This window comes from Homo sapiens, chromosome 16, assembly GCF_000001405.40.
Source record: "Homo sapiens chromosome 16, GRCh38.p14 Primary Assembly".
Taxonomy (NCBI): Eukaryota; Metazoa; Chordata; class Mammalia; order Primates; family Hominidae; genus Homo; species Homo sapiens.
Window position 1 is genome coordinate 17132182 of NC_000016.10, and position 12318 is coordinate 17144499.

Genomic DNA, 12318 nt, shown 5'->3' on the forward strand with positions numbered 1-12318 from the left:
ATACATGCAGGGATTCTGCTTCCAGACTAGCAGTGGGGGGGAGAGAGACTCCCTGGTGACCTTGAGCCAAGATACCGCACATACTGAAGGTGAAGTCCCTGAACTACTTTCAGCTTGGGAGACGGTGGGTGTGGGGTGAGCTATCTTAATAAGTGTCATAGAGGAGGTGGTCCTTGGATGGCTTTGTTGACTTGAGAAGGGGTGGCTGTGCAGTGGGAGGCAGTGAGCAAAGAAAATACAGGGAGAGAACAAGGAATTGTTACCATCACACACAGCAGGTTCACTGTTGGCTGCATCATAATGGCAACTGGCAACTAAGATACCAGCAATGACCTGAACCCTGAGCAGTTAGTACATGGCAACTGGCAACTAAGATACCAGCAATGACCTGAACCCTGAGCAGTTAGTACATAAAATGCTGTTAAAATGGGAATAACAAGGCTGGGCGCAATGGCTCATGCCTGTAATCTCAGCACTTAGGGAGGCTGAAGCGGGAGGATTGCCTGAGGTCAGGAGTTCGAGACCAGCCTGGCCAACCTGGTGAAATCCTGTCTCTACTAAAAATACAAAAATTAGCTGGGTGTGCTGGTACATGCCTATAGTCTCAGCTACTCAGGAGGCTGAGGCAGAAGAATCGCTTGAACCTGGGAGGTGGAGGTTGCAGAGATCACATCACTGCACTCCAGCTTGGGCAACAGAGTAAGACTCTGTCTCAAAAGAGCACTGTATAACTAACTCATCAGGTAGTTTTTGATGATTATCTCCTTTACACTTCACAACACCTTATGATACAAAAATGATGAGTATTACTCTTCTCATTTCACAGATGAGGAAACCGAAGCTCAGAGAGATGAATGACTTGCCCAAGGTCAATAGCTTGTAAGCAGAGTTTAAACTGCAGGTCCTGGGTTCCTAACCCACACTAGTCTCCCTTTAAACTAAATCAGAAACTTTACGGAGAGAGAAGCCGAGGGATGTGAGGAGGTGATGGGACAGTGTCACAGCCCTGCGGAAACCTTGCTGGCCAGGGATGAGACACCAGGTGGGAAACCTGCCTGTGTTTTCAGAGAGTTAGTGAACAATCTTCTTCCCCCCAGCCCCGTCAGAGACTGACGCTAAAAAAAAAAGATGCTATGTTGTTAAATGAACAAGAAAAAGAAGGAGAGTGATTAGAGGCACTTCTGGGAATCTATCCTAAGGAAATAATCAAAAGAGAGAATGGAAAAAAAGGGCTTTCTGAGAAAAGATATTCATCAGAACATTATTTACAAGGGTACATTACTGACAATGGCAACAGTGAAGGGCCAGATTAAGCAAACTCTGGAACTTCTGCTCAATGGAATACTAGAGGCATTAAAAGGAATCATTATCATTGCGGAAGCTACTGAGCAGCGTGGAGAAATGGGGGCTAATAGTATAATGCCAAGGGAAGAAAACAGGATACCCAATTCTTGTTGCAATTATGTAAATATCCAAAATGCATATTGCTTCAGAACAAAAGAAAGGGTACACAACGTGAAAGTCTTGACTGGCTTAGGGAAAGAGATGAGAGGAGAAGGGATTATGTTGAATTATTTTCCTACCTCCCCCTCATCTTCTAGAACACTCTTTCCTGAAGTGTTGGCAGTTAGTGGTAGATGAGACAATTGTAAGGGGTGGTTGAGAAGTTTCAACAATAGTTCTGCCTATTAATTTTCTTTGTGATATTTTTAGGTGTGATGACATTATGGTGAATGTTTTTAAAAGAGTTATTTTTCAGAGATACATTATTAAAATATTGATGGCTGAAATGATAGGATGTCTGGGATTGACTTCAAACTGATCCGGGAGGAGGCGGAAGGTGGGTGAAGATGAAAATGAAACAAGATCAGCCCCGAGTTGGAAACTGCCGGGGCTGGGTGACGGGAACATGGGGTTCCACTGTTCTATGTTGTACATCTTTGACATTTTCCATCAAAAAAAGTTTTGTACCTTCCACTTAAGACAAATGCTACATATGATATGGTGACAAAAAGCTTCCTTCTAAAGTATATATATGTAGCATGAAGAATGAGTAAAATCATTGGGTACATAGGATATCTGGTATCTGAGAAAGTAAAGCACAGCTTGGATTGGAAATGCCACGCACGCTAGGAGGGTGGCGTTAGATGAGTTTTGGGCAAAGGAAGAGAGAAAGCATAGGGTGGCATTGCATTGCAGATCCCTAAAGAGGAAGAAGGACCCCCACTCTGTACCCTGAGCCTCCCCTCCTGCTTCTCAGCTCTCCTCTCTGCATCCCATATAGGGCTCACCGGCAGCTGTTCTCCCCATCCGTGTGCAGGGACGTCTCGGCCCGTCGAAGACCCAGGCGGGCAAAGGAGTGGTACAAGGTGAGTGTCACGTCGCTCAGGCTGTGGATGCCGTCAGGCTCATCGTAGACATTCTCCCAGTAGGAGCGCAGGCCCGGGGTACCTGCAGGGTAGTTCCCGTACAGGTAATAGTCCAGCTGCCCAATGATTTCCTGATTCACCACGGCTTCAAACTTGCGGGCAAAGAAGGTAGGCCGGGCTGTCTGCTGTACTCATGGGATTAAAAATAGAAAAGCCACATCAGCGAGTGCTGGGGGTTGGGGGGAACCTAAGGGCATATCCTGTGGTTAGAAGCAAAGCTCTGCTGGACCCGAATTAGCTCCGATACTTTTTGCACCTCTGTGTTCTCAGTTTCAACATCTGTAAAATGGGTTATAATAAGGGTGTGAGTTAATCTGTGCAGAACATCTAAAGCAATGATAGGCACTTAGTAAGCATCATTTCTTAGTAAGCATCATTTAGATGTCTGTTAAATAAACTAAATAATTTTAGATGGTAATAGCTGGGATGGATCTCAGACATCATTTAGGTACAGGTCACAGGCTAGTAATCTAGGGCAAATAAATACAGCCTGCAGATGTATTTTAGCTAGCCATATTTAAAACATGAAAGAGTTCACGGAAATTCTTTTGGCTTCTCTTTAAACAGCAATAGATCTGGCAACCCCAGGCCCACACTCCACATGGTAACAACTGGTTAAAGCTGAAGGGTGGTGGCTGTTCCTTTAGACAGCACCTAGGTTCTTCTGCTCACTGCAGTCTCCACCATGCCCTATTGCCTCTTTGGTATTTCAGCCAACTTGCAGACTCACAAGGGATCGGAATCTCTGGGACTTTGAAAAATTCAGATTCCAGGCCAGGCACACACCTGTAGTCCCAGCTGCTCAGGAGGCTGAGACAGGAGAATCACTTGAACCTAGGAGGTGGAGGTTGCAGTGAGCCGAGACTGCCGCTGCACTCCAGCCTGGGTGACAGAACAAGACTCTGTCTCAGAGAAAAAGGACCTACTGAGTCAATAGCTCTGGAGTGTAGCTCAAAAAAAAAAAAAAAAAATTCCCAGGTGATTATGATTCAGTGTTTCAGGACCACTGATAGCAACCAAACTCTCAAGGCAACAGGCCCAGAGATGGTAAGGGACTTAGCTGAGAACACACAGCAAGTCACTATCAGAGATGGGACGAAGAGTCAGGGTCCAGGGTTAAAGAAATACTAAGCACCTGTAAGCTACCAGGTGTTATACTTTATATTCAGTAAAAGGCCAGACAGTAAATATTTAAAATAGCTTTGAAACCTTCAGCTTCGCTTTTATAGCATAAAAGCAGCCACAGACAGACAAGAGACTAAATAAATAGGTATGGCTGTGTTCCAACTAAACTTCATTTATAGAAGCAGGCAGTGGGCTGACTTTGGCCCCCAGGGCTAGAGTTTGCTGACCCCTTGTGTAGGGCTGCGGAGACAAATAAAACACAGGTCTCTCCCTTGAGGAGCTTATTATTGTCTAGTGTTATTATTGACCTAAAGTTGGGTCCAGCACTGTTTTCATGGTGGTAGATTAATAGCAGCAACAACTACTGACCACACACAATACGCAGGGCAATGGACTTATGTCATTACCTCTAATTTTCCCTGTAACTTGGCAAGGCAGGTATTATGATTCCCATTTTACAGATGAGAAAACTGAGCTCAGAGAGGCAAAGCGATATGTACAGACTCACACCATTGTAAGATTTGAAGCCCAAATGCATGACTCCAAAATCCAAGCCCTTTCTACTGTATCACTCCAGGACTGAGGCAACTGAGTAAACTGGGAAGCCCCCTGATCGTAAGTACCCTTGGTGTTATTCTAAACATCTCATTGCCAGTCTGCTTCAGGAAACCTCTCTGTGGTGGGGAGCACAGCTTAGCACTGTAGAGAGTTAGACCACCTGAATTCAAATCCTCATTTGGCTACCGTCTAGCTGTGCAGGTCAAGTTACTCAAACTCTCTGGGCCTCAGCATCCTTAAAATGGGTTACTAGCATAGTGTCTAGCACATAGTGTAGGCTGCTCTTTGATTATTATCACCAGCCCCTTGTTACCAGGAACCCATCTAGGGGCAGAACAAACTCCTTTCTCTGCCTGCGATTCCGACCATAGCTGGATCTTCTAACAAACAGGGCACGTTACCATATTATTCTTTCTCTCCAAGTTCTTCGCGCAAGAACTCTGAGTTCCTTACAGGCAGCAGTGTCTTGACTCTAGATCTTGGGGGATATTCTTAATCTCTGCTTGCTGTGAACACATGAGGCACTCCTTGTCAGAGGCTACAATGTCCCCAGGATGCCGGGCTAGGATACAAATGCTTGTGCCTGGGGGAGTGCAGGGCTCTGGGAATCAGCACGTGGAGGTTTTGTGCTCTAAGTGATGAAGATTCTCTGCGATTAGGGCAGTGAGGGACGGGTCCTCTCCAAACATGGGAATTCATTGAATAGGTCAAACAAACATTCCCCTGCAACCCTCTTTCGGCTCAGCATATCCTTTCTGCAGGGAAGATGTGAGTTTAGGCAGCCCCCTGTCTGCCAGCTTAAGGTGGCTGGAGCTGCTGTGTGGGAACCTTAAGGGGAATACGAACGACAGAAAACCTGCAGTGTACTCTGCATTCATACAGGCACAAAAACCAGGAAGGCAGCAGGGACTGCTGGAAAAAAACCCCACTTGGAACACCCCTCCATGCCTTCGTTTCCTTACCTGAACAATAAAAGTGATGTCTGCCCCAGTAAAGCCAATGCCCACACAGCCCGGCACAGAGGAGATCAAACACAAACAAACAGCATCCCGCTCCACATCAAGGGCACCTTGGCTGGGTTATGAGCCTGGCATTGTGTCCCTGCCTTCCTGTGTTAGTGGTTTGGGAAGTAGCATACCGTCTCTACACGGTGGCTCTAGTGACCTCAGAGTGATTCGCTTAACCATTCAGTGGCACTCATATTTGTGCTCTCTGCTGCTAGGTGTGGGGAGGGCTGGAGGAAGAAGCCACCATGCTGGCTTGGAGGGAGCAGAGCAGGAAGGGGTGCCCATCTTGGGGCCAAGCACTCTCAGGGCTCATGGTAAGTGGATGAGCATTCCCCACCCTCCTGCTCTGCCCTTCCCCAGAACTGTAAATTGTTAGGCTGCCCAGAGACAGCTGTAAAGGGGATAATGTTCTACCTCTTCTTACTCCTTCAAGTACACAGAACACAGTGTTTTCCCACAGAACACAGTGGTTTCCAAACCTGGCTGCTCCTCAGAAAAGTGCAATTCATTAAAAATACAAATTCGTCGATATCACTGATGAGGGTTTCTCAACCAGAGGTGCTGCTAAGCATCCTACCCATGCATGGGACAGCATGTCCCAACAGAGAATCATCCAGCCACAATGGCAAGAGTTCTGAGGTTGAAAAGCTCAGCCCTAGATATATACTTAAAAGCATATTCCTGGGTACAAATGTAACAAATATTTTGGGAGATTCTGATGAAAAGGGAATAAAGAGAAGATGATATGAGTATGGCCTTTGGAAAGTTTTTTTTAACCTTTCTGTGCCTCACAGTTTTCATATCCCTAAAATGGAATAATAATGAAAGGTCATTTGTTGTTTTTGGGTTAATGAGTCAATGTGGTTAGAACATCCCTGAAGTAAGTGCTCAATAAACACTGGCTATTGTTGATACTGTTAACTATTATTAATTATCAACAGCCAGGTTTGGGCACCATGTGATAAGATGACCTGCAGGTCTGGCCTTGGATTTCTGCAGAGGTTTGTTGGGAAGGCATCACTTAGGAGGCTGGCAGACCATGAGAAAGTCTCACCTGGAAGCGGTGGAAGTCCTGCGGCTTGAAGTCATTGGGGGAGCAGCCGCACCAGTCCACGATGTGCTTGTACTGGCACTTGCAGCCCAGCTTGCGATTCCAGTTGGTGATGCGCAGGTTGTTGTCCACCATGGTGTCGCAGTGGGGGCTGTTCTCCAGGACCGTATGGAAGAAGGACTGCAGGGGAGAGAGGGACCCAGCCTGAGACCTCTCCCAGCCTCCCACAGATGAACTGGGGTGGGAAATGGTGAACCCTTGCTCTGAGTTCATGTAAGAACTGGTTGTTTAAAAGAATGTGGCATCTCATCAGAAGCTGGGCGGCTTCCTGTACAGCTTGCAGAACTGCAAGCCAAATAAACCTCTTTTCTTTATAAATTACCAAGCCTCAGATTTTCCTTCATAGCAATGCAAAAATGTATAACACAACTACCTGACTGTCAAGGGACTCTTATGTTCTCTGCATGCATTTGAGGTCAGCTGCCCATGTGGTCCAACTCAGAGCGCAGGCGGATGCTCTGTCCAACAGACAAATCAAAGGGATTCAAGTCTGACTGACTGACTGGTGTGCTGGAATTTCACCCCTGGGGTAGGGAGACCAGATTGATGGTTGCATTAGACCCAGGGCTTCCTGCATCGCCAGACGGCAACATAGGGAAGGGAGTGGGTGGGGCTGCTTGCTGTCCATGGTACTGAACCAGGTGCCATATTTTCTCCCTAATCCCAGGATTCTTGGCCAACTGCTTTAAGGGATCTGAGAAAGAGGCCATGTTGGATCTGAAAAGAAAAACTAGAGGAGAAACAATCAATCACTGGAGTACTTGAGAGACTGCCAGAGAGTGAGAGAAAGATTTCTATAATAGACAGTCCCAGGCAAATATATTTCCTCCCTGTTCTCTCTCCCTAAGGGAAGCTGTTGGGGAATCTGTGTCTGCCCGTTACAAGTTAATGGGCACAGCCTTCTGATTTCTTCTAAACCAGTCCTCTTGAAGTGGTCTGGGAGAAGGGAGGGAAGGCAGAGATGCAGGAGGTGGGACTGAACAGAGACCCTGGAGTATATGTGCTTGTGTGTGCTGGGGCCAGGGAGGGGCAGAGAAAGCACACACACGGAGCTTTGGTCACCAGTATCGTGGTGGGCGTCTTGATTAAAAATAGCCAAACTCCCAAACAATCTCTTCTAAATGGATGGGTGGGTAAATGAGGCTCCAGCCGCCACCCCCTGCTGACCTTCCTGTGACACTAAATGACAAGCCCATGAACCTGGATTTTAAGCTTGAATTGCCTACAAGCCCAGGGAGGCATACATTCTCCAACAAGCAGTGGGAAGATGTACCCAATTACTGATTGCCCTGTGTCCTTTCATAATGATACAGAAATTCCCTGCAATATAATGGATGAGGAGGTTATCAGAATTGAGAGAAGAGGTGATTGATTTTTGCTGAAATAGGATTAAAAGCTGATTACTTAACATGTGTGCAGAATAGTAAAACCTGGCCCAGTGATGACAAGCTCATCATCCCTCTGGGTGATGGGGGCAGTCAGCCCTCCCCGGAGCTTGGCACTGCCCCAGACACAGGTGAGAGATGTGCTGGGAGTGTGGCCTGCAGAAACACACATAACCTATGTGGTCCCGGGAAGGAACAAGGGACCGTTCATGAGAAATGCCATAGACTCAATAGAAACGGAACCAGCTCTGCACTGTTCTCAAGCTGGATTGGAAATGAGGGTGCAATCAACCTGGAGGTCAGGAAGATGAATCTGGAATCCCTCAACCCAGCTCTGACCGGCAGGCAGCTAAGGGAATGTCAGTGACAATCCTTCAGAACTGGATCCCCTCCCCACTTCTAGATGGGGCTAGGACTGTTTTAGAATACTCTGGATTAATGGAGTATGACTTATGAAACCAACACCCTTTTCTTCAGGGAATAATAGAGCAATGTTCAACATGAGAAAAGGCATGCTTGGTGTAAAAAGGTGGTCATTACATGATTGGTCATTGTGAAGGATGCGTCAAAAGTTGATGTGGCGGCCGGGCATGGTGGCTCATGCCTGCAATCCCAGCACTTTGAGAGGCTGAGGCAGGAGGACCACTTGAGGCCAGGAGTTCAAGACCAGCCTGGCCAACATGGCAAAACCCCATCTCTACTAAAAATACAAAAATTAGCTGGGTGTGGTGGTGGGCGCCTATAATCCCAGCTACTCAGGAGGCTGAGGCAGCAGAATTGCTTGAACTCTGGAGGTAGAGGTTGCAGTGAGCAGAGACTGTGCCACTGCAGTCCAGCCTGGATGACAGAGGAAGACTGTCTCAAAAAAAAAAAAAAAAAAAAAAAAAAAAAAAAAGTTGATGTGGGTGTGTCCTGAAAGGGTCAGCATATACAGTTGTGCAGGTTACACACTACATACCTTTTAGGGGTGCCATCAGCATTGTGGATGTCAGAAGGGTTTTTTAAATAACAGTTTTCTGGAAAATAGCCATAAGGTTCTTGTTCTAACAAAATCTGTGTATCATGTGATTTTTATGACCAATGAAAGCCAAGTATCTTGAGGAAGAGCTGCCTTTTCTATTTTGCACAAAGACACTGTGTGGACTGCCGGTGGTAGCACCGTGTGTCTACTCCACGCAGCCTCTGTGCAGACTGGAGGGAGACCAGGCATCCTGCTAAGACAGCAAGGATGTCTGGGTGTGTAGAGGACAATGTAGGTGGACCCAGAATCTCTTTGCCAAAAATTCAGCATCTGCTTTGCCACAAAGGCTAGAACAAGCCCCTATCTTTCTTGGGAAAATTTTCCCAGATACTCACCTCAGCAGGAAGCAGGGTGTAGGAGTAGAACTGTTTCATCTTGGTCACCAGATCGTCTGTGGAGAAGGTCACATATTCTACAAACCTCCGGTTCAGCAGGAACCAGTCCGAACCGCCATCCACGGCAATGCCCTCTGGGATCCGCCGATCTCCCAGGCGCCACATGTGAGCGTCGCACTCCAGGAAGAGCCGATCCAGGCCCTGCTTCCGAATGAACCTGGGAGGGAGAAAGCTGCCCTTAGCCCAGAGGTGTCCTGAAAGACAGAACTCCAGCCAGAGTCCAAATAAAACAACACAATCATAGCGATGATGGCAATTATTGAGTGCCTGCTGTGTGCCAGGTACTGCTCCAGGGCTCTGCGTGGAGTTTATCACTTGATCCCCACAAGTGAGGCATGTCACCGTATTTACCCCTATGACGCAGGTACTATTTGACCCCCAACTTTCATATGAGGGCACTGAGGCTTAGAGAGCCCAGGGGACTTACCCAGCACAGTCAGATGACAGTGATCATCTGCTACAGCTACTCCTTCTCTAGAGAACTTTGGCAACAACCTCCTTATGCCATAGAGGTCTTGGCAGTTTAGTGAATGCAGACCATGGACCCTTGTCTCAGAATAGTACTCTTCAATGCATACAACAAAATATACAGGGTTATGAAACAGCGAAAAATAAAAATCCACCAAAGTTCTGATATAAAGTAATGCCTGTGCTTCTTGACTCACACATTATATACAGGATTACAACATTTTTAAAATTTTTATTTTTTGAGACAGGGTCGTGTTCCGTTGCCTAGGCTGGAGAGCACTAGTGTGATCCTAGCTCCCCGCAGCCTCAAACTCCTGGGCTCCTGTGACCCTCCTGCCTCCAGCTCCTGAGTAGCTAGGACTACAGGCATGCATCACCATGTTTGGCTGATTTTTAAAATTATTTTTGTAGAGATGGGATCTTACTATGTTGCCTAGACTGGTCTTGAACTTCTGGCTTCAGGCTCCCAAAGCACTGGGATTACAGGCATGCACCGCCATGTCTGGCTGCTGCTTAAATTTTTTTGTAGAGACAGGGTCTCACGATGTTGCTTAGGCTGGCGTAAAACTCCTGGCCTCAAGCAATCCTCCCACCTTGGCCTCTCAAAGTGCTGGGATTATAGGTGTGAGCTACTGCATGGGGCCTGGATTACAAAATACATTTTAAAACACTGAATGTATGGTACTACGTGTGTTTCTTTATTAATACATTAAATAACAAGATATCATGGCAGGTCTATTAAATCCTGTAATTTTTTTTTTTTTTTTTTTTGAGACAGGGTCTCACTCGGTAGCTCAGGCTGGAGTGCAGTGGCATGATCTTGGCTCACAGTAACCTCCGCTTCCTGGGTTCAAGTGATTCTCCTGCCTCAGCCTCCTGAGTAGCTGGGATTACAGGCACACACCACCTCACCCAGCTAATTTTTTTTTTTTTTGTATTTTTAGTAGAGATGGGGTTTCACCATGTTGGCCAGGCTGGCCTTGAACTCCTGACCTCAGGTGATCCACCCACCTTGGCCTCACAGAGTGCTGGGGTTATAGGTGTAAGCCATTGCGCCTGGCCTAACTCCTGAAATTTTGAAGTAGTGGTGAGCATAAATGATATTTAGAGGTATCTGCACCAACTATAATGTGACAGGAAAATAGATGATTCCTACTGGTGACCGAGTCAGTTAGTTACTGCTAATACTACTGTGATTTGTTACCTACCTTTAGCTAGATTTCAGTTAGAATTCCATTAAAAAAGATATCATTTTCTTCTCATCCAAAATCACGAACCTCCCCTGAATTTTTCCCATGAACCCTAGATTAATAACTCCTACTGTAGTAACTATATACATATAATCATCTTGTTTAGAATTTTGCAAGGCAGGCTGGGCAGAGTTGGCATTTCCTATTTTGTAGATGCAGAAACCAAAGCTGTTCAGGTCCCAGAGCTGGTGACGTGGGCATGTTGGGAGGGTGGACAGAGCTAGAACCAAGGCTTTTGGGCCAAACGCTCAGTCCATTAGCAATTAGCATTCATTGCACACATAACCATCATTGCCATTACCATCATCACCATTTTCATTATCATCACTGTCACTGCCACCATCATCATCATCTCCATCTTCATTATCAGCACCACTATCACCATTTTCACGTATTACGTGCCAGGTACTGTGCTGGCCCATGGTACAGGTCAAGGAGAAGTAAGGACGAGCTCTGCTCCTAAGGAGCTAGTTATCTAGATGGGAGCTTACAGTCTAGAGTTGAACTCAGGGACCTTTCTGCTCCTTCAGGCTGCTGGCCCTTACACACGACCAGGACTCTGGATTTTTCAAGCCCTTATGAATAACTCTATTGTATGAATGCTTCTCCACACCACCACAGTTTCCCTACACATGTGCCTTTGGTCATGGACTCCGTATGTGCTGGGAATGATTGTCTTCTTCCTCTCCCCTTCAGTGTTCCCTGAGTGAACTTCACTTCATCGATCAGATTGCAGACCAAAAGCTACTCTCTCAGTCCTTACAGTCTTACAACACTGTAATTTCTTCCACCATCATTGCCATTACCATCATCACAATTTCCATTATCACCACTGTCATCACCACCATCGTCATCATCACCATCATCATCACAATTTCCATTATCACCACTGTCATCACCACCATCGTCATCATCACCATCATCATCACAATTTCCATTATCACCACTGTCATCACCACCATCGTCATCATCACCATCATCGTCACCAATTTCAGTATCACCACCATCTTCATCCCCATTATCACTACCACCATCACCATGGCAATGAAAACATATGAGCATTATCATTACAAGGGCTTTATATGGATTATCTACTTTAATTCTCATGAAAACCCCAGAGACAGTACTTTTATTAACCCATATTTACAGGTGTATGAACTCAGCAACTTGCCATAGCACATTTCTGTGATTCTGTGATTACTGTCTACCCTTTCCAGTAGACTACAAGCTTCATGTGAGCTAGGGTTGTTCTTGTTTTTGCTCATCACTCTGTGCCTGGCACACAGTAAGTGCTTAGCGAGTATTCACAGAATGGATAGATACTGAATCCATCAATAGGCAAATACATGTCCAGCACCTACCACAACCCCAGCCTTGTGGTGGGTACAGTGAAAGACAGGAAACACTATAAACGACAGGCTTTATCTTCTAGGAACTCATAGTCTGACTGGGCAAATATGATACAGGCACATATAACCATAGGTTAAATGAGTTTCGAGGAACTTCTGGAAAAATGGGGACTAGGGCAAGGGTGAAAAGCCAGCATGCTGTGGACTTGGTTGGTGGTCA

General features: G+C 46.2%; 1 protein-coding gene and 1 long non-coding RNA gene across 4 annotated transcripts in view, besides 1 other annotated feature; one reads left to right on the forward strand and one right to left on the reverse strand.

Annotated features, from left to right (window-relative positions):
- The window catches only part of XYLT1 (xylosyltransferase 1), a 369192-nt gene that overhangs the window by 30413 nt on the left and 326461 nt on the right, over window positions 1-12318 (reverse strand). For all 3 annotated transcript variants that reach the window (XM_047434458.1, NM_022166.4, XM_017023539.3), the window contains 3 exons: window positions 8972-9188; window positions 6174-6350; window positions 2292-2554 (listed from right to left, as the gene is read on the reverse strand). In XM_047434458.1, the coding sequence (XP_047290414.1) occupies window positions 2292-2554; window positions 6174-6350; window positions 8972-9188 (657 nt within the window). The remainder of the gene's footprint in view (window positions 1-2291; window positions 2555-6173; window positions 6351-8971; window positions 9189-12318) is intronic.
- Window positions 2323-6551, forward strand: LOC102723692 (uncharacterized). The gene is made up of 3 exons (NR_135179.1): window positions 2323-2369; window positions 5335-5433; window positions 6061-6551. It is a non-coding gene; the product is annotated as an uncharacterized LOC102723692 (long non-coding RNA).
- Window positions 2573-2632: an enhancer, noted in NCBI's record as "active region_10502". NCBI's record gives its function as "activates an Ori minimal core promoter by ATAC-STARR-seq in GM12878 lymphoblastoid cells {active_cell/tissue: GM12878}" and the evidence as "EXISTENCE:reporter gene assay evidence [ECO:0000049][PMID:35858748]".